General features: G+C 40.6%; 1 protein-coding gene across 5 annotated transcripts in view, besides 4 other annotated features; it reads right to left on the reverse strand.

Annotated features, from left to right (window-relative positions):
• Positions 1–21,696, reverse strand: part of PIP4K2A (phosphatidylinositol-5-phosphate 4-kinase type 2 alpha) — a 179,725-nt gene that overhangs the window by 153,924 nt on the left and 4,105 nt on the right. The window contains exon 1 of one of the 5 annotated variants that reach the window (XM_047425351.1): positions 1,183–16,648. The exons of the other annotated variants lie outside the window; for them this stretch is intronic. The gene's annotated coding sequence lies outside the window, so the exon portion shown is untranslated. Of the gene's footprint in view, positions 1–1,182; positions 16,649–21,696 lie in introns of those variants that run through there. 5 annotated transcript variants of the gene reach the window in all.
• Positions 1,848–2,762: an enhancer, noted in NCBI's record as "OCT4-NANOG hESC enhancer chr10:22979554-22980468 (GRCh37/hg19 assembly coordinates)". NCBI's record gives its function as "activates a minimal SCP1, AML or CMV promoter by ChIP-STARR-seq in primed H9 embryonic stem cells {active_cell/tissue: H9 hESC(primed)}" and the evidence as "EXISTENCE:reporter gene assay evidence [ECO:0000049][PMID:30033119]".
• Positions 4,189–5,583: an enhancer, noted in NCBI's record as "VISTA enhancer hs2048". NCBI's record gives its function as "enhancer in: branchial arch[4/8]" and the evidence as "EXISTENCE:transgenic organism evidence [ECO:0001131][PMID:17130149]".
• Positions 11,720–11,779: an enhancer, noted in NCBI's record as "active region_3146". NCBI's record gives its function as "activates an Ori minimal core promoter by ATAC-STARR-seq in GM12878 lymphoblastoid cells {active_cell/tissue: GM12878}" and the evidence as "EXISTENCE:reporter gene assay evidence [ECO:0000049][PMID:35858748]".
• Positions 15,599–15,658: an enhancer, noted in NCBI's record as "active region_3147". NCBI's record gives its function as "activates an Ori minimal core promoter by ATAC-STARR-seq in GM12878 lymphoblastoid cells {active_cell/tissue: GM12878}" and the evidence as "EXISTENCE:reporter gene assay evidence [ECO:0000049][PMID:35858748]".

Here is a 21,696-nt window from a genome sequence, read left to right on the forward strand (position 1 = left end):
GACATTTCAACAATATTAGGTCTTCAGTTCATAATATTTTTTATCTGGTACAATTAGTGGTTTATTATTAGACTGGATAACGGGGTGTTCCTATTACCATTAAGTTCCTTACATATATGCATACCCAGAGCCAAGGGTAAAAGGTCTGGGCTTGTTATAATTTATCACCCATCTCAAATAATTGGCTATCATCAAGAATTAGATTCATGCAAGGAATCACTTAAAGATTCATTTGTCTGTCACATTAAAAACACTAACCTATCTTTTTCTTCTTCCTTAGCAGATTTTTCTTCGAGGAGCACAAGGGTGGGTCTGGTGGAACTCTTCAGGAGCTAGGGTGTCGGAGGTGGGGGACTAGCCCTGGTCCCACTGTCCTTCCTCCCCTCCTCACTCCCCAAGCTGCCCCTCACCCCCTCTCTTCTCCTTGGGAGCAATCCCCCATCTCCATGCTTGTGACACACACTGAGCTTACTTCTGAGCACTCAGTTAATAAAGGCCTGTACATTGAAAAATATTTTTAAAAAACAACAACAAAAAAACACTGCTCTGCTATGTCATTAATCACCTAGATGAAGCCCACACAACAGGTCCTCCATATTTTCAGGTTCCGCATCCGATGGAAAATGTAACTAGGCCTACCATGGTTGCAGCTATACTGAACATGTACAGACTTTTTTTCGTGCCATTATTCCCTAAACAACACAGTATGGCAACTATGTACATAGCACTTACATTGTATTAAGTACTATAATCTAGAGACAGAATTTAAAGCATGCAGGAGGATGTGCACAGTATAAATGCAAACATCATGCCATTTTGTATCAGGGACTTGAGCATCTTCAGGATTTTGGTATGGGGAGTGGTCCTGAAACCAATCCCTCACAGATACTGAGGGATGACTGTAAACAGATTTCAAGGTGCATGACAGTAAAGGAATGGATGGCTTCAATTTGGAATTGTAAATAATGCATACAGGTATTACTGCAAAGAAAGTGGAAACATATGAGAACAACCAACCATAGCATAATCACTGCAAACTGATGGTTGTTGCCACAACACCTTGCGATGTCTTTACCAACTGCTCAAGTTTTTCTTTAGCAACATTTTCATGTCACAAAAGACTGATGCACAAAAGCAAGGTCCCTGTAAGGACATCACTGAATAAGGCTGGAATGTACTTACTCTTTTCAAACACTTGAGCCCTGCAGGGGGAAAAAAAAATCCTTATAACTGCTTGTCCAAAGACATTTTATTATAATTAAGTATTTCTCAAAACTTAAATTACTCTTGACTTTATTCACACTACAGCAGCAGCATCATAACAATAATAAATAACAGCAAACAGGGCCAGGCATGGTTCTAAGGGTTTAATGTATATTAACTCATTTAAACCTCAAAAAAACCCTATTTTGGAGTAGAGGTTGGGGGAACAATCCCAAAATCTAGGTGCTAATACTACCCACGTTGTATAAATAATAAAACTGAGGTACAGAGAGATTAATTCACTTGCCCAAGGTCACACAGCTAATAAGTGCTGAGTCCAGCCAGTAGGCTCCTAAATCTGAACTCAGGCACTATGCTACACTCTGTAAGTTAATACAGCATCGGGACATATTTAAATCATTAGGGTTCCCCCTACTTGGAAATCATTAACTCCACTAATTTATTTTAAGATTATTTGCCATCTTAATGTGTTTTCCACAAGCTGAAATACTAAATAAAATTTTGAAAAGTTTTTACATCTCCTCTTGTGGAAGAGAGTAACAAAAACCCAACATATCTCCTCTTTCAAGAGGAGATATGTGCTCTTTTCTTCAAAGAGCACAAATACCAAAGAAGGGGAGGAAAAACCCTAAGATTCAATGAGTGCACATGGACTGACATTTGGGTCATCCTTACCTCATTCTGTCCTCTTAATAGCATGGTAAGAAATAACCGTTTTACAGAAGAGAAAACTGAGCTTGAGATAAGTAATCATGCAAGGCAAATGGGAGGGCTAGAATCTGAAATAGTCTGGCCCCAAGGCTAGCCCTTTAATTATTATGCAATGCTGCATTGATTGCAAAATCACCATATGTATTTCCTCTAAACAAGAAAAAAATTAACAAAGGGATTCAATACAAACACAAGAGCAGTGGGGCATCAATTGGCTGTGGGCACCTGAGCAAACATTTCTACCACCTCCCTGTGCTGGCACTTGCTCCAGGGTAGAAAAAAGGATTTGGTCCCCCACGTAACCCCCTAAGGGAGACAGAAGAGGTGGTGGTGTCTCGATTTTACAATAAGAAAACTGAATGGTTTTGGTAAAGTCTTAAGAAATGCCTGAGGTTCAGACGGTGTGTGCCAAACAGAAGCAAAGGTATGCATGAACCACTGCAGCCTATTTGACACAAATGCAATTCAGGATGGCATCTGCGATTCAGAACAGCCCAGAGCTCGTCCCCTGAATAGTTCAGGCCTGCCCTCCTTTGTCCTTGTCATCCTACCTCCTGGGAACCTGCATTATCTTCCAGCTCTGTAGTTAAAAGGCCCGAAATGCTCATCCATATACCGGCCCTCTTTTCTTCAGACCTATACATGACAGAGCCCTATGTTTATTCTGACTCTTGCCCCTTCTCCTCCTCCCAGGATGCTCGATTGCCACCCCAGTACATTTCCTTCCACTGCATATGCATCTTTATACCAGGGAGACTTGTTTTTGCTTTTGTTTTCCAGAAGTTCTTATAAAGCTTTTTCAAATTTTATTCCTTACTTTTTATCATAAAATCTAAGTCCTCACATGATCATTTGTGTAAAATAGAAATACTTTAACATTTAAAATTCATTTCTGTATGTATGCCCTACCTGATTCCACAGTGAGGTGGCTCTCCCATTGCGTCATTTGCTATGTTTCCAGGTGTAAGCTCCTCACTACAAGGGAAACCCTGCTCCCAGCACAAAACTTGACCCATAAAGGTTTGAGTAAACAGCTTTCAGGAGCACACCTCAAACAACACAACTCTAACTTCCCAAAAATAAGCCTTCTTAAAAATATGTTTCTCATAGTTAATCAATAGGAAGAGCTGCTGGAAATAGAACAATAGCTGAGATTCTAAATTCCTTGTCATTGTCAGTCTGGACTGTGCAATAGAAAACCATCTTATAGACTAGCAGTCCCCAACCTTTCAGGCACCAGGGACTGGTTTTGTGGAAGACAATTTTTCCAGGGACTGGGGTGGTGTGGGGATGGTTTTGGGATGACTCAAGACCATTACCTTTATTGTGCACTTAATTTCTATTATTACACTGTAATACATAATGAGATAATTATACAACTCAATAATATATAGAATCAGTGGGAGCCCTGAGCTTGTTTTCCTGCAACTAGATGGTCCCATCTGGGGGTGATGGGAGACAGTGACAGATCATCAGGTATTAGATTTTCATAAGGAGTGAGTAACCTAGATTGCTCACGTGTGCAGTTCACAATAGGGTTTGCGCTCCTATGAGAATCTAATGCTGCTGCTGATCTGACAGGAGGCAGAGCTCAGGCGGTAATGTGAGCAATGGGGAGCGGCTGTAAATACAGATGAAGCTTTGATCCTTTGCCCGCTGCTCACCTCCTGCTGTGTGGCCCAGTTCCTAACAGGCCATGGACCACTACTGGTCCATCTGTGGAGTAGGGGTTGGGGATCTGTCTTAGACAACAGAAAATTGTCTAAAATCCACACTAGATTATTTGAGAACTAGGGCAGGGTGGGATGTGATTCTAAATAAACATATTACAGAAGCTGCAGCTAGATTCTTCTGTGAAAGGGGTAGGCACTTGGTGTCTCTTTTCCTAGACGTTGTCTTTTCTGCTCTGTAGCTTAGAATTTGGGGCTTCAATAGAGTACTACCATCAAATGTTTTCTCAGAAATATCCAGGCCCCACTTACGGCCTTCCCTTAGAGATGGAACAGCCCTTCATACAAGACCACAAGTGAGGTTCTCATTTGACCCAATGGTACAAGGTCTTTACTACCTACATACCAAGGTAACTATGGTATAGGAATCTTCTTTCAGTCAACAATGCAGAAAACATGTCCTTTAGGCACTCAATAGTGATCTCAATTTTTCACCAAGCTGGACTGGAAAATGTTCGTCAAGGAATCATTTATTCAAGGCTGATCTCTGTTTACAGCCAGGCTGGGAGAAAGCCGTACCTCTGGGCTGCCTCACTCTGATACCTGGTGTGTGTCCCATTTTGCCTTGGCTTTCATGGGACTCAATAACAAATAGTTCTGCATATCCATTAATTTTAGTCCTGTTTTAATCGATTGGGGTCATAAGTTTTCCTTAGAATCAGGGGGTGAAAATAAACCAGTATCTGTCCTCCCATTAGACAAGGATAGTTAGATCACAGATTTGTCAAGGTTGCTAAGAAATTCAAACCTAAGTTTCAAGTTCCAATGTCAATTTCCTTAACCAGGACTGTGAAAAATTTTATGGTAAATGTGTTTTTCTCTCCCCATCTTTACAACTTCATTTTTTTTTTAGCTGATTGCATTTTGCTTTATTTTACCTATGTATTCTTTGTTAACATTTTTAAGGCTTTTGGAGAGTAATACATACAAGGATTTCACCATCATCACTAAAAAGAGTCCAAGAGTGATTCTACATGGCATGTTGATTCACTCAGAAGGCAACTTCTCAGGAAATGAGAATCTATTTATGAGTATTCTTTATGTTTCAGTAATAGCTAGACAAAGCATGTGTCTATAAGAAAGCAAAAAGACAAAAACTAAAGATGATTTCAAGGCCGTATGTTTAAGAAACAAAAGAACAGAGCCGAGAGATCTGAGAGAGAAATTAGTTTTTAGAAAGTCAGATATCAACAGATCTCCACTAGTTCCCATCTGGGGAGCTTAGTCATCGACACACTACCCACAGATGACCTTAACACACACACCCAGCCTGGTGCTGCGTTGGGAGACATAATTCTGGTCCTCGCTCTATCACTGAGCACTGTTTCTTTATTTTACTGTCTCAGCTTTCTCAGCTATAACATGAAGGGATTAGGAAAAAAAAAATTACAACTACCATCTGGTTCTGATGGGTTATGATTTTTTTTAATGGAATCCAAGAAATGAAGAGAGCATGATAAAAGAGGTGTTAAGTCCAGAGTCACTCTCTCCTTCATTTACACACCTTATCTGAGTATGCGGAGCCCTCGGATTAAAGCAAAGGCGATTCAAAAATACATTACTGGCTGGATGCAGAGCCCATGGATACGGCGGACTACCTTTTCATACCCCTGGGTGCCACAGGGCTGACTGCAAGGCCTTGAGCATCTGAGGATTTTGGTGTCTGCAGGATCCTAGTACCAATCCCCTGGGGATACCAAGGGGTTACTGTACCTGAAAATCTAAGTGATGTGTATAGGCGAGGGGTAAGCAAGACAATCTACTGAGTGCAAGAAGAAACTGTCAGAATGTCTACTTACACTTAATTTTACCTTAAAAGCTAAGAAATGCAGCTTTTACCAACACTGACAGCCCTTATTTGGGTCCACAGGTTAGATGTCACATGCCACTTAAATAACTCAAGATGTGGCAGTGGGTCCCTCTGTCATCTGTTCAATTTATTCATGTAGGGCTACCATCTATGTAGTATAAAAAACAAAGCCTTTCAGTAATGAGGTGGGGCGTGACCCCAAAAATGTTTTGTACCATACAGAGGTGTTCCAGTTCTCTTGTGGCAAAATACATAGAAGAATTGTTTTAAGAATGATTAACACATTTTTCCCTTACATAAATACAATTTGCTCCAAATTTCCTGACCTACTCTGTGATCACAAGTGGCTGTCAGTAATACCTGGCAGATGTTTTTTTCAATGACCTTACTTAATCAGTCCCTTCAAGGTAAAGATGAGGTTTTAAGAAGTGCAAGAAAATAACTGCTTTTTTGAAAAGAAACTCAGACTGTACAGAAAGTATTTTGAAAAGAGATGTGCTTTTGTATCTTTTGTACAAAGAACTTATAAAATACTTCTCATCTGTTTTAAAATTTTCAATAAATGTAAAAAGTTTTTTATTTTCAACCCTCTTTATCCTTAACATAAACTGGAACACATTTTATGAGAACTTACTGCTATCCACAAAAATGGAAATTTACCAGAAAAATTTTTATCTAACTGGTGGACAGTGTGAAAATGAGAATCACCAGTTAGAAAGCACAGTCAACAATGCACTTCACCCATTTGGATCCGTGTATCTTTGTAGGTAACTTTTTGAGCTATTAAAACCAAATAGCAAAATGAATATAGGACCAGACCTTCAAATTGCTTTATCATAAAATATTCACCATTTTTAAAAACAGTGATACAAACTCATCCACATAACCTTCATTTGAAAAAATAAAATCCACTACACACTAATGATAATTTTTCACGCTATCAATAATTTTTAACAAAACAAGTTTTAGTTACTAATATTTACCGTCAGTGGATCCTTTTAAAACTTCTATGTATAAGACAAAATAATTCAGTAGTACACACAGGAAAACTTATAAATAAAAATTCATATATTGAGAGCACATGCTCCGATTTTTTTCACTGCTAAGATGCAATAAAAACTTGGATACCTGTAGGTAAATTAGTGGTCATCACTGCAGTTTATCCTTGTTTTTCCCAAACTCACAAAAAGTGACAACTTTTAGAATCATTTATTATTTGTTTCTCCCAGTACAATCAATATTTCTTTTAATCAAGGGATTTCCTAGGAGAGCTACACAGAGAGAAAAATCCCCTATATGAAGAGAATATTTTATTTCACAAACCAAAATGTACAAGTCATTTCTGCCTCACTGAATTCAATATACAGTCTTCCCTTGGTATCTTTGGGGGATTGGTTCCAGGACTCCCCAGGATACCACACTCCCCAGATGCTCAAGTCCCTAATACAAAACATTGTATTTGTATAAAACCTGCACACATCCTCCCATATACTCTATATCATCTCTAGTCCATGTGTAAGTACCTAACACAATGTATGGTCACAGTAAGTAGCTGTTTTACTGTATTGGTGCTTTTACTTATATTATTTTTCATTTTTTTCCTTTAATATTTTCGACCCGTGGTTGGTTGAATCTGAAGATTCAGAAGCCTTGGATACAGAGGGCTGACTGTATACAGATTTCTTCCCCCCACTCATCTCACCTTAGAGCATGTCTTGGGTTTTTTCCCTAATTGTAAGAAGACTGCATGCGCAATATTTTTGTAAGAAACCTATAAAAAGGTGTAAGTAGAAAGCAAAAAATCATCTGTAATCCCTCCTCAGAGGGACATAATATTTTAAAACCACACTGGCTATGTTCCCACTCAAAGTATCAGCCATGTGTCTGGATCAGTACAACCACCTCAGCCAACATGTGTAACAACTATAGAATATTTCAACATATGTCAACATTGTATTTTATTTAGCCCAAATATACCATCAACTTGTCTACTTTCATAAAAGAACTGTGTTTTTGTTTTTGTAGGAAACACAGGCTATAAGGGTCTCTCCTCAGCTGACATGCCCAACTGTTATAAGTGTGTTTTTAGCTGAGCCGATTACTTTAGGACCATCCTACATGCCATCAGAATAGTCTTTTCTTCTTATAAATAACCAAATTGAAATGAATCCTTAAATGGTCTCTTGATTTGAAGGTTCAGAAATGGGAATAAATTTGTTTTGAAATAGCCTTTGGCCACTCTGATTAAGTAGAAAACAACTCATTTCATTCAATGTATTACTCTATATGGAAGCTTTTTTCAATCTTGCAGACATTTTTCTCATAAGAAAAAAAGGGTAGTTTCTTAAAATAGGGCATAAAAATTTATATCCATAATTTTTAAAGTTCTTATTTTGAAGTTAATGAAAAATTACATATAGTTTATTCATACTGAAAAGTCACCTACTTCCTAAAGCCTATTCAGAATGGTCTGTTTTTGTGTCAAACATTTAATATTTTAAAATACTAGAACAAGGAATAATTCTCTATTAGGTAATCATCCAAGTTAAATATATATTATCATCTTTTACAAAAGACCCTTAATTTTCTACTTAATTCAAGCTTTAAAAAATAAGGATCAATTAAGGTCCCATTTTAAAAGAAATATATTATCCCAGGGCTAATTTTAAAGCCTGAATTCATCTAAAATAGTCAGTAATTTAGGCCTCCTGAAAATTGGCAACTGTAGTTAGCACTGTCACAATAAAATACATCCACATAAAGTGGAAATAACAGTTTATCTAGATGGCTACAGTTTATAAGCGTGACCTTTCCTTTCTTTCTAAGAGCTCTACTTTTTTCCTTCAATTTTCTTCAGTGTTCTCTGGAGTTCATTTCCTTCAGCTTAAAAAAAAAAAAAAGGCTACTTTGTATGTTAAGTAAAAATTAAAATTGCATTGCTTTTCCTTTCTGAGTGTCTTATCTAAATGGAAAGAAGCCTGAGTACTCAGTTAGATGGCAAAGCTCTGAGCTTCCACACCTGCCTTGCCAGGCTTCGGAATGTTTGTGAGGTCAGCACAAGTGACCGGCATTATTTATACTACATAATTCTTGACAGAGTGGCTAGCGCACAGAATCAAGCTTCAAGCCAAACTACAGGACCACAGTAGAGGGATGGTAACATCCAACATTTAAAAAGCAAGGCTGGGTGTGGTGGCTCATGTCTGAAATCCCAAAACTTTAGGAGGCCGAGGCAGAAAGATCACTTGAGCCCAGGAGTTCAAGACTATCCTACTAGGCAACACAGCAAGACCCCCATCTCTACAAAAATTTGTTTTTAAAAATTAGCGGGGTATGGTGGCACACAACTATAGTCCCAGCTATTACAGGAGGCTGAAGCAGGAGAATCACTTGTACCCAAGAATTCGAGGCTGTAGTGAGCTATGATCACACCACTGTACTCCAGCCTGGGTAACAGGGCAAAACTGCATCTCGGAAAATTTTTTAAAAAATTAAACACACACATACACACACACACACAAACACACACACACCCTGTAATTGTGGACTCTAGCAGATGTCACATTACATTTTCTGAAACGGTTCATGTGAATCGTCCATAGGTCGAGTCTAACGTTAAGCAGTCAGACCGAGGATAATGAAAGGCAAATTCCTGACTAGTCTACTTACATGGGAAGAATTCTGCCTGCCATTAAATGCTATTGGATTGAGTTTAATATAAATCATGTGGGCTATGGCCAGCAAAAATTAACCAACCACAGACAGTGGACAGCGACCTGCTTCTGGGATGCAGGCACTCTCTGCTTAGAGTCCGACGAAGAAAAACTGGGAGAAGTGGGTCAGTTGAAAGCAGCTCTTTTCAGAGGGCAGACTCGGGCCAGGCAGCCTATGTGGAAGCCATCTTCCAACCTCAGACCTGATACTCCCACACTGCCCATGTGCGTACATCTTTGGTCAAACTGCTGAAAATCTCTATAAAGAGATTTAAATGGGTTAAAAGCATATGGGAAAAAAGGATATCTTTTTATTCCAATCTTTGCTGTTCAATTTAGAACCCTGAAAGCAGAAGATGTGGGAAAGCAGCTCTTAGCCACACTGCTAGGGTTATAATCTGGTATAACCCTTTTTGAAAGCAACTTGGCAACATGTACCAAGAGCCTTAAAATATTCATACCCTTTGACCAAGTAAATTCCCCAAAAAGAGAATCTCTTCTAAGGAAATCATCCTAAATAAGAAAGAGTTTCATACAGGGAGATGCTGACAGCAACATTATTTGTGGTGGCAAAATACTGGGACCAATGTTTGGACTATTAAACTTCATTAAACTATTTAGGTTGGTGCAAAAGGAATAGCAGTTTTTGCCACTGAAAGTAATGGCAACAACCACAATTACTTTTGCACCAACCTAATTATTAAGCAGTGATCAAAAATTTAAAATAATTGTTAAGAATACATAGTAAGATTAAATACATAGAATAGTCTCAATGAGATTTTTTTAAAAAGACATTGGAAAGAAACATTAAAACATTAACACTGGTTGCTTGATAGAATGGTTATGGTAATTTTTTATATTTGTGTGTGTTTTTCAAATTTTTCAGAAAATATGCTATGTATCTGTACTTATCAGAACTTAAATTTCACTGAAACCATATTTCTAGTTCACCTAAATAAGCATAAGAAGAAAGAAGCTTTATCTAACACATAATAAAAATATTCACTATTGGCTATTTCCTGGCTCAAATATTCATTGGCATGTGTTAAATCTGTGAGTATCCGATGCCAGAACTGCAAGAGAAAGTGAATTAGACAAAAAGATTAGCTTCTCCTAACCTATTTTTTTAATGTCCCTAAAATTTGCTCCTGTCCTCCTACTTTGGCGCAACGTGCCAAAAAGAAAGTGCCTTATGGATTTATCATAATTTCAGAAACAATATCTGTTTCCCAACAGTTCTTCTGATGCCAAAGCATTTAACTTTCCATCTGGGTGCAGGCAGAACCTAATTTATGAATGGGTTGTGTTCCAAACATTCATTTGTAAGTTGGCCCTTTGATTCTACAGGAAATGTACTCCAAGGCCTAATGTAGTAAAAGCCTGTGGACTTGGTCTAAGAGAGACAGGGGACCCCTGAGAAGAAAACTTCTGTTCCTGTTCCTGGGCACAGAAGCAAGCTAGGGCCAATGCTGAAAAAGGTAGCTGCTGAGTAGCGCAGGGAGACAACTGAACACACTAGATACCTGGGAATGTGCGAAACTTGGGAGGGGCACATGGTCAGGCCAGAAGAGGATTAGTAAGAAAACTCAAAGGGCCGACAAATAAATTAATGTTCTGCTTGTTTAGAGCAGTATCTTCAAACCTTTTAGGCTACGGGCCACTTAGACAACACAGCTTCTACCACATCTATACCTGGTTATCCTTGGAAACAAAAAAACCAACGATTACATCTTTCTTTGGGAAACTTGCAGCCTGGGCATATAGTTGTTCAAAATACATTGTAAATACAAACACTTTTATTGTAATGCAATATATGTATTTCTGAAAAATTTCTAAGTTCTACATAGACACTAAAATCCAGATTTTAGGCAGACCACTGAAAAACTATGAAACTCTATCACCAGAATGCTTAAAAATAAAAATCCTAAAAATAGAAAAATAAACAGTATTTTAGTGTAATTTCTAATAGATATATAATGGACTTTAGAAACACAAAGGTGAGGATCATTTGATGGAAGGAATACAAGGAGTAACCAAGCTTCTAAGTTACACAGACTAGGAGAAAATGTCCAGAGATTGGAGAGAACCCTGAAATGAGTACTTCTGAGATCGAGCAGAAGCCTGCTGGAGTCAGGAGGAAGAAAACGGATACAAGAGCAAGGTATGCAGTCCTGTTTCTCAATTTGGCTTGCTGCCTTGAGCTGTATTAGTGTACTTTGCACCTAGCTGCTGATACTTGGAGGCAGTGGCATACTCAAGGAAAACTGCTTATGGACCAATTCATACATCCTACACCACATTCCCGATAGCACCGATCTCATACAAGTGAATCTGCATTATAGAAGCATGTATGTAGCAGCAGCAAAGACTGCACAACGGTGCATTTTCTAAAGCAGATTCAAATCTATAAGGGGACTTTATAAACCCCACTTTCTTTTCTTCTGTCCAGACTGAACACCACCTGAACGCTCCTCCAAAGACACCAGTGCTTGGGAACGTGACATGAGAAATTTTGGATGCATGACCCGAGAAAAGCAAGGCAAACCAGGGCAGCTGCTAGCACACAGGCACCTCTGTGCACATCAGAAAATGAGCCTCCTCTGTGCGGACAACTCACAAAAAGGGTGCCTGTCTCCCGCTAATGCAGCCCCTTGCTATGGTGTGCAGGTGGCAATACTGACGTCAGCCCCCACCTGCCCCTACCACCTGGAGCCTTTGTGCAGGTCATGTAGAATGCTACAGAGGTCATTCTCGGGTTGACTAATACCTAACACCTTCCTCAAAGTCCAGGCTGAAAAAACAAAAGCAAGGCTTATTTATTACAACTACAAATAAACTAAGCTCTGAATGTTAGGGTGTCTAGCAACTTGCAAATATGTTTCTAAGCCTAAATGACCAAGCCTACAGAAACACAAACAAAAGTAATTTAAATAAGAACATGTCCATAAGAATGGAAATGAATAAAACCATAAAATCAGAAGGAGAGAAGTATAGAAGCACCTGAAGAAGGGTTTGGCAGTTCCCTGGAAATGCCACATACCCTTTATGCTTTTCTATGCATTACTCTGCCTGTAACATGTTTTCTCCAGCTTCTCCATCCACCACGCTAATTCAATTCTTGAAGAATTTCAAGAGCCTACCACTAACTCTCCCAGGGCAGTTTATTAATCCTCTTCTGTCTCACAGTATCTGTGTGTACAATCCCAGTTGTGGCAAGAGGGGCAGGGGTATCCCGCCAGAAGCTAACAGCCCCCAAATAACAATAATGTAATGGAGAGTGTGAATGGTAAGAAAATGACCTAGGTGAGTCACTGTCGATTCCTTCCTGTTACCTAACAGTCACCAAATCCAGCTGATTCTACCTGAAATCTCTCTAAGCACATCCTTTGTCTGCTTGTTTACAGCAGTATCTTCAAACCTTTTAGGCTATGGGCCACTTAGACAACACAGCTTCTACCACATCTATACCTGGTTATCCAACAATGTCTGTTACCCCTGCCCAAGCTCAGGTTCCCATCACCTCTGGAAGACAGAAATGGCATTCTTCCTTCTTGCAGTCCCACCTCCTGTCCCACTGACTCCCCTCACAGATCCATCCCTGGAAGGCTGCAGAAGTGCCACCATGCTTTGGCTTCTCACTGTCTCACTTACTGTTGGATTCCCTCTTTTGAAACTTTGAGGTTGATTTGCATTTCTGCTGACAGGGTTATTCAGGTCAGCTCTGCACTGAAAATAAGTAAGCGTCCTGAATAAAATATGTTCTTAAACATCTTCTTGAAGGCATGAAAGAGTTGGAAGAGGGAGGAGAGAAGTCGGCCTGTCAAGATCTTAGTGAAAACTGGAAGCAGGAAGAATAAGTTAGTCATGGAAGCCACTTTGGCTCTAAGGGCTTTGATGGCCTCATGGGTTGACAGGAACAGAAGACAAAGACTAGGGCCCACCCAAGGTGTGAAGTCTAATAGGAAACCTTTTCTCCATAAGGCTACAATGGGTCTACCAAAAATAAAACCATGCCACCCCAGGGACTGCAGCCCAATTTTATATCACCATGAGGTCCAAAAAATTCCAAGCTGTGAATTTAGTTTCAAATGGTCTTGGTCTCCAGTATCCCTAGCCATGTGGCAAAAACAAACAATTCTCTCTGGAAGGATACATCTTTATCTTAAGACTTGAAGAATGTTCCCTGAATGACTATCCAAGGAAGTGAGCAGCTCAGAGCCAAAATGAACCAAACATAAATGGCAACAAGGCACCATGAAGAAGAACCAGCAGAAACAATACACAATAGAAAAAGACCCACAAAGGACTGAGATACTGACATTATCCCTATTCTTACAATGTTTATGCAATCTTAAATTTAACTTATGGTACACTTCTGAATACTACAATTTTTAGAGGCATGTCTGAAGCCATTAAAAGAACAAGTCAGTAATAACACTGCAGCACACTCTTCTAACATAATATCTCAGATTACTTAGAAATGCATTCATAGTCTTCACGCAGTTCACTTGGCGGCCCTTCAACATCTGACACTGTTTGAAAGAAGTTGTTTACTTTCTGAACCTTTTCTGTCGTGTTCACAAGACACAGTTCTTGCATGCTGCTGTAAACATAACCTCTTTCTTTGGCACTGGCTTGCAGTTACCCCATACCTCTTATCACCAATTTGCAGCAAGTTTTTCCCCACTCTCTAACACACTGCACAACCCGCTCAGCAAAATGCTCTAAAATGCTCTATGCTTGATTATAACAAAAGTCAACTTTCTATGTTTATGAAAATTGAATATGGGAGGCCTCATGGTATACCACCTGAGAACTAATGGCCTACGGTTTAGAATCCCAGCCCCACTCATTCATTCAACAATATGTACTGAGCACCTACTATCTAAACACACTGTTCTAGATGCAGGGATACACCTAGTAAATAGGAAAAAGTCTCAGTTGCTATGAAACTTATTGTTCTAGTTGAGGGAGATAAGCAATAAAAATGTACACAACTCAGTTTCAAACAGTGTTAAGTGTCACAGAGAAAATAACAGTATGATAGTGGAGGGGCTCCCTTAGCTTAGGAGGTCAGAGAGGCCATCTGAGAAGGCAACCCCTTAGCTAAGAGACTAAAATAACTAATAGGAGCCAACCATCCAAAGATCTGAGGGCAGGCTGGGCATGGTGGTTCATGCCTCTAATCCCAGCACCTAGGGAGGCTGAGGCAGGAGGATTACTTGAGGCCAAGAGTTGAAGACCAGCCTGGGCAACACAGCGAGACCCCCCATCTCTTACAAAAATTATAAAAATTATCCAGGCATGGTGGTGCACACCTGTAGTCCCAGCTACATAGGAGGCTGAGGCAGGAGGATTGCTTGAGCCCAGGACTTCAAGGCTGCAGTGAGCTATGACCATGCCACTGCACTCCAGCCCAGGTAACAGAGCGAGACCTTGTCTCAAATAAAAAAATAAATAAATAAAAGAGGGAAAAACATTCCCGACGAAGAGAAAAATAAAGACTGAAGAACTGTGGCTGCTCTGAGCTTGCCTTTAGGAACAGAAAAAGCGCAGGGCAGCTGGAACATAGGAATCATGAAGAGGGTGTTATGGGATGAGGGCAAGGAGGAAAGTGGGGCCCAGGCCAGTAAGATCCTGCAGGTCAGAAAAGGTTTGGATTTTATTCTAAATGCAATGTAAAGCCTTTGGAAGGTTTAACTGAGGACATGACATGAAATCATCTACAGTTTAGCAAGATTCCTCTGCCACTGCTGCAGACAAGGTGGACTGAAACAGGGCAAAACTGAATGCCGGGAGACCAAACAGGAGGCTACCACAGTGTTCCTGAGAAAGAAGATTCAAATAGAAAGCATGTGGATTCGGGACTCAAAAATTGGATGTGGAGAAGGAGTGGGGAGAAAAAAGCATAATCAAGGTTGCTCCCTACGTTTAAGCTTGAGCACCTGGGTCTATGGTGGTCCATTTTCTGAGACGGGAAGAGGCCAGTTTAAGTTATGACAGGGGACGGGGCAGAGTGCAGGGAGGAAATCAAGAGGCCTGCTTGGGACATCTGAGATGTCTATTAGTTATTCATGTGAAGATACCTGGTAAGAAACTGCATATAGAGCCCAAGAGGAAAGTTAGAGCTGAAGTTAAAAATTTCTCAATCATGACTGTAAAATGGTATAAAAAGCCATGAGACTAAATGAAATCATGTAGGTAAAGTAAATGTAATTGTAGAAGATGATCCTGGACACAGGCCTGGGGCATTCCAACATTTCCAGACTGAGCAAAAGAGGAGCCTGCACCTAAGGAGTGGCTAGTGAAGCAGAAGGAAAACAAGAGACAAAAAAAAAGGAGCCCCCTGCATTTGAAAATGTTAGCACTGCCAGTGATGCTGACTTGAGCAGTTTCCTAGGTGTGCTGGAGGTGAAAGCTAGATTGGGGTAAGTTAAGGAGATCATCGCAGGTAAGTTGACGGTTGCCAGGTACGGTGTCTCTATAGAAATAGGAGACCTCAGCTTTAGACAAGGCTTTTCACTCCTGCTATGAAAAGGAACAGGGCAGGTGTGGTAGCTCACATGTATAATCCCAGCACTTAGGGAGTCTGAAGCAGGACTGCTTGAGACCAGGAGTTTGAGGCAGCAGTGAGCCATGATTGCACCATGCACTCCAGCCCAGGCCAAAAAGCAAGACCTCATCTGAAAAAAAAAAAAAAAAAAAAGGAACAGAAAACACGAGAAGACACTAAAATGAGAGACTAAGGGTGAAGGAGAGCTTCTGCTGTTACTGTAGTTTATTTTGCTTTCAAGATGGGCGGCCCCGGAATGGTGAGCCATGTCAGTGGAAGACACTGCAATGGTGGGAATCGTCTATATCTGCACTGTTCAATCCAGTAACCACTAACCACATGTGGCTAGTGAGCACTTGATATGAGAAACTGAATTTTAAGTTTTATTAGCTGAAATTTAAATTGCCATATATAGCTAGCAGCTACAAAACCAGGCAGGGCAGCCCCTCCAGCATGTCTGTAGACTGACGGACCCAGCTGTCCAAAATTTAGATGGGATGGTGGGAAGAGTGGAAGCTGACGGCTTCTATTTGTTCAATGCTTTCTAAATGAGGTTATATGCTGAGGGAAGGACGGGGTGGGGGAAGTGGGGGACAGGACACTAGGTGAAGTTCAAGGAGAAGTGAAAAGGAAGAAATGACTTCAGAGAGTGGAGAACATATTAAAGGAGGCAGTAACACTTCCGGGTCGAGTGTCATTTGAGATTTGTGGCAAATTTTAAAGTAACCCTGGTCAGAACTGCTGGCTTTTCTCTGGCAAACATCAACCACTTGGCCCTTCAAAGGTGGCCTCAAACTACTCTTTCAACCATCTCCTGACACTCCCTTTATGTTCCTCTGTGGTTTTCAATTTTCTTGGCTGCAGGATCTTTTTTACCCCCTTTACGTATTATATTCAGTACCCCAGTTAAAAAAAAAAAAAAAAAAAAAAAAAAAAAAAAAAAAGGACAGAGAGATGACAATGAGGACAAAAACAAGGCTGTTCTGGAGGAAACTGAGGTAGGCCTAAATTCCCCCACCAGCTTGGCCCCCTCCCACCAGCCCCTGAGGCACATCTAAGGAATCTCAGGGCTTGAAACCAAAGATTTACCCTGATGGGTGTTTCTCAGACTTAAATATGCTGACGATCAACATGTCTTGTTAAAATGTACATTCTGCTCCAGCAGGTCTGCAGAGGCCCAAGCTCTGCATTTCTAACATGTTACTGGGTTCTGCCACTGTGGCCACACCCAAAGCCAACTACTCACATTCTCCGCTCTGCTTGGTTTTGCCCGCTGTCGGACCCTCAGCTGCATATGCCTTTCCCCATTGTATTAGTCTGTTCTCACGCTGCTGTGAAGAAATACCCAAGACTGGGTAATTTATAAAGGAAAGAGGTTTAACTGACTCAGTTCTGCAGGGCTGGGGAGACCTCAAGAAACTTACGATCATGGCAGAAGGGGAAGCAAACACATCCTTCTTCACATGGCAGCAGCAAGCAGAAGAATGAACACCCAGCAAAAGGAGAAGCTCCTTATTTAAAATCATTAGGTCTCGTGAGAACTAACTATCACGAGAATACGATGGGGAAAACTGCCCCCATGATTCAATTATCTCCAGCTGATCCACCCACAACACCTGGGGATTATGGGTACAATTCAAGATTAGATTTGAGTGGGGACACAGCCAAACCATATCACCCATCTTCTGCAGCTGGGAGATTCTATCTAATCCTCAAGGTCCTCCTCATTGTTACCTCCTCTCAAGGATTCTCCAAGTCCCCCAGGCAGAAGTAATCATGATCCAGTCCTGGTTAGCACCTTGGCAGATCTCCTACCACTATATCCCCCTCTTGCTGTGCTCCAGCCATGCCAGCTTTCCTGCAGTTGCCATAACAAGCCAAGCAAACACCAGCCTCACGGCCTTTGCACCAGCTGACCCCTCCGCCTGAAATGCTCTTCTCCCAAACTGCCTCATGTCTAAGCCCTTCACCGACGTCATGCCTTTGCTCAATGTTCTGCACGGTCTATTTAATACCTTCCACCCCTAGCATTCTGGACACTGTAGTTATTTACACATATATTTATTTTACGTCTGTGTCCCCTGTAGTTATGCACAATTTGAGAGCAAGGTCCACAATATATTCATTTTGCATCTGAAGCATCTTGCAGTGTCTCCATATTTAAAGACAAGGTGAAATATCAAGTCAATAGCTGACATAACTTGCAACTAATGGATGTGAATTAGATTTCTGACACTTCAAAGAACCTAATCGCTAGTGGAAGTGTGAAAAATACAAGAAAGAACATAACAAAATAGATACAGAAAGCAAAGCAAGGGCACAAGGGTAATTCTAAAATGATAATTCATAACTCAAAAATACACAAGGATGCCAAGAACAACGATGATGTTCTACTACAAAACAGGATAAAGTAACCATTGATTTAGCATACAATCTGATAATTTGCTACCTCTTAGCATTTAAGATATTAAAAAAAAAAATAGGATAGGCATGGTGGCTCAAGGCTCTATTTCCAGCACTTTGGGAGGCTGAGGTGAGAGGATTGCTTGAGGTCAGAAGTTTGAGACCAGCCTGGCCAATACAGCAAGACCCTGTCTCTATTTTAAAGGATAGTAATAATGACAGCTAGCACATTAAGAACTTACCATGTGCCAGCAACTATTTAGGCATCTTACAAGTATGAATTGATTTAATCCATATAACAAACTTCCAAAGTAGGTACCATTATTACCTCCTTTTATAATCAAGGAACTGAGAGGCAAAATAACTTGTTCAAGGTCACATAGCCAACCGAACAAGGACTCCAGAGCTCTTAATCACTGTGCCCAGGTAGCTGAAAAACTATAAAGATTTAGAATTGTGAGGCTTAGCTTTAGGTAAGTTACTGTTTTAAAACTCCCTACAACATTTTTCTTAAATAAATTATGTACTGGTTCTCTCCCTACATGCTCTGAACATTAACAATGATTTTCTTTCTATGAAGGGAAAAACTGGTTTTCAAGTAGTTTTCTCCCATGTTAACAGCTAATACTCTGTCCATCCAAGAAGAACAGCTCTTAAGACTAAGAAAATAAAAGAACTCAAAGAAATGAATGATTCCTGAGCTTGGCCCAGGCAGCACAGCTCAGTGGTTAACGGTACCGTTGTGAATCCCAAGTACTAGGCACTGTGACCCAGGCGGGTAATCAATTCAGCCTATGCGTGTTCCCCCCCAAGAATTCTTCCTGGCTGCTGCGTGCTCTCCCCACTTTCTCACCCCACACTATCCCCATCTTATTCTTGCAAGGGTTCTTGATGGGGTTCCATGAACTCCCAAGTGGTCCATGGATAGAATTAAAAGGATCCTTGAACTTGCTAGGACATATCCTCTGTATTTTCATTTATTCCTTTAAAAGCCTCATTCTGAGGAGTCTATGGCCTTCACTGGACTGCCATAGGAGTTCCTAGTACAAAAAAGAAAAGAAATGAGGATAAAGGCAGACACAGGGAAATAAGCTAGGGGGGTTTAATATCAGTCTAGGAAAGAGGGAAACAAATCTGGTTAGGAGTGACAGAAGTGAGAATGGAAACGAAGAGACGGATTCAAGGAAACTCCCCAGGGATTCCTAACAAAATGGCATCTTTCACCTTCCTTCTACTTACCTTCCAAAAAAGAGGAATTGCCTCTACTTCCACTCATTCACTCCTTAAGTCTTTAAGCTTTCACAGCCACCCGCAATCAACCACAAGCACAGCCATGACTTTCAAGCACTTGGGAACATCTAATTGTGCCGACCTCTGTTTTCTCCTCCTGTTTCTTCTTCCTCTGTCCTTCCCTCAAAGCCAAGTGTCCCCAGTGTCCCTGCTCCTCCGGTGGAGATCTGACTTACCGATTCTGTACGGGCAGGTCTCAATGGTCTATCCCAGCCCTAGTGGCTCCCGAGCTCCAATCACACCTTTCCAGCATCCTACATGGTACTGTAACTGCAGGATCCACCCACCACCATCACCTGCAATTCCACATTCTTAAATCTAAATTGCTTGTGTCCCTTTCCAACCTACAATTTCTTCTCCCAAATTCTCTAATCTATCATGGGGCCACCATTCTTCTAAGGGCTCATCACATACAGTTGGGGCTGGGGGAGGAATCCTTAGTGGTAAAGTTCTTCCTTCTACTGCTATGTAGCCTGTGGACCTGCAGCATCAGTACCACCCGAGAGTATGATAAATGCACAGTCTCAGGCAGCACTCCCAACAGATCTGCTGAATTAGACACTGCATTTTAATTTTTATTGTTTCACATTTAGTGGGAGCCTCCATCTGTCACCCAAGCTACAGTACACTGTACAACCATGGCTCCCTGCAGCCTGGACCTCCTGGACTCAGATGATCCTCCCACCTCAGCCTCCTGAGTAGTTCAGGCTACAGGTGTGTGCCACCATACCCATCTATGTTTTTACATTTTTTGTAGAGACAGGGTCTTGCTATGCTGCCCAGGCTGGTCTCAAAATCTTGGCCTCAAGCAATCCTCCTGCCTCAGCCTCCCAATGCATGACTAGGATTACATGCATGAGCCACCTACCCAGCAGCAGAGCCTAATTTAGCAGACTTTTTTTTTTTTTTTAAAAGTCCCCGATTGATAAACACCTTAAATTTTGAGAAACAGGGATCTGGTTCTTTTAATATATCACCATCCAAACTGCATTTGAACTTTATTACTTTTAGGCATCATTTACTGAATCCTTATGATGTGCTAATTACAGTGCTAGGCCTTAAACACAGTATCTCATTTAACTCTCAACCCTGTGAAGTCATATCATTATCTCCATTTTAAGAATGTGAAAATTGAGGCTCAAGTGACTAAATCACCTGCTCAAAGAGCCCATCAGTTCCAAAGTTAGCATTTGAACCTCATCTGTCTAACCACAAACCTTTTTTGCCAAATTGCACCAATTCCCTTCAATTCCAAAATTTGTATTTCGAAGGCTATGCTGGCAGAATTAATTACTCTGGTTGCCTGTATTTTCTAATCAACTTAAGGCAGATTTTGGTGGTTTATTATAATTCTTGCCGGCAACCTATCTAAAGACACAGCAGATCAGGATACCCTGGAAATAGAAATCACTGACCTGACATGGGGCATCATTCTGAGTACTGAAGTTTAGTAACTGTAAGTACTAAGTAACACTAAGTACTAAGTATAAATACTTAGAGTTCACTCTAAAGTATCTGACAAATGGAGAGGAAAATGTATTCTGTTCTCTGGTTATAATCCCAAGTTTTAAGGAGTATAAAACGACTTCCCTAATAAACTTTCTGTATGTCTGCTTGGTATGTTTCTTTCCTCTGAAGATTAAAAAGAACAAAAAAATAGTTTGAGGAGACTAGTTCTTGAATGAATGGTAGCTGGGTTCCACTCAATAATTTCATCTAATGTCTAATTTTAATTTTAATGTAATTGCCTTATTATGTCCTATTCAGTCAAAGTCATTTCACAGTCACTCAAATCACTTTAAAACTTAGTTTCCTTATCTTCTTTCAGTGCCCAAATAAAAACCCATGAACCAAAAAAAAAAAAAAAAAAATTATGATGTATCCAATATGGTCTTTGTCTATTCCAAAAACCAGAGCTTGTGGAGAATATAATCAAAGCTACTGACGCTCCACCAAGGACACCATGAATTCTCCAATCCACACACAACACAGCACATGGTGCTCATCAGGCTGGCCCTCACAGATTCCCACGGTAAAGACCCACGGATGTCCAGAACCATCCAGCTCTATTACTCGGACAGAGACCTGCCTGAAACTGCCTGGCAGGCCCTTTCCCCTCTCTGGGGACTGTTCTTTCCCCAACGCCAACAGGCAAGCGCTGCCATGTTTTTATAACTGCTTAGTCCAAGGGACGGCCACAAATGACCAAGGCCAGACCAATCCCAAGTGGAATCCTTCCACGGTATTTTTATAACTGAATTA

The sequence above is a fragment of the Homo sapiens genome, chromosome 10 (genome assembly GCF_000001405.40).
Source record: "Homo sapiens chromosome 10, GRCh38.p14 Primary Assembly".
NCBI classification, from domain to species: domain Eukaryota; kingdom Metazoa; phylum Chordata; class Mammalia; order Primates; family Hominidae; genus Homo; species Homo sapiens.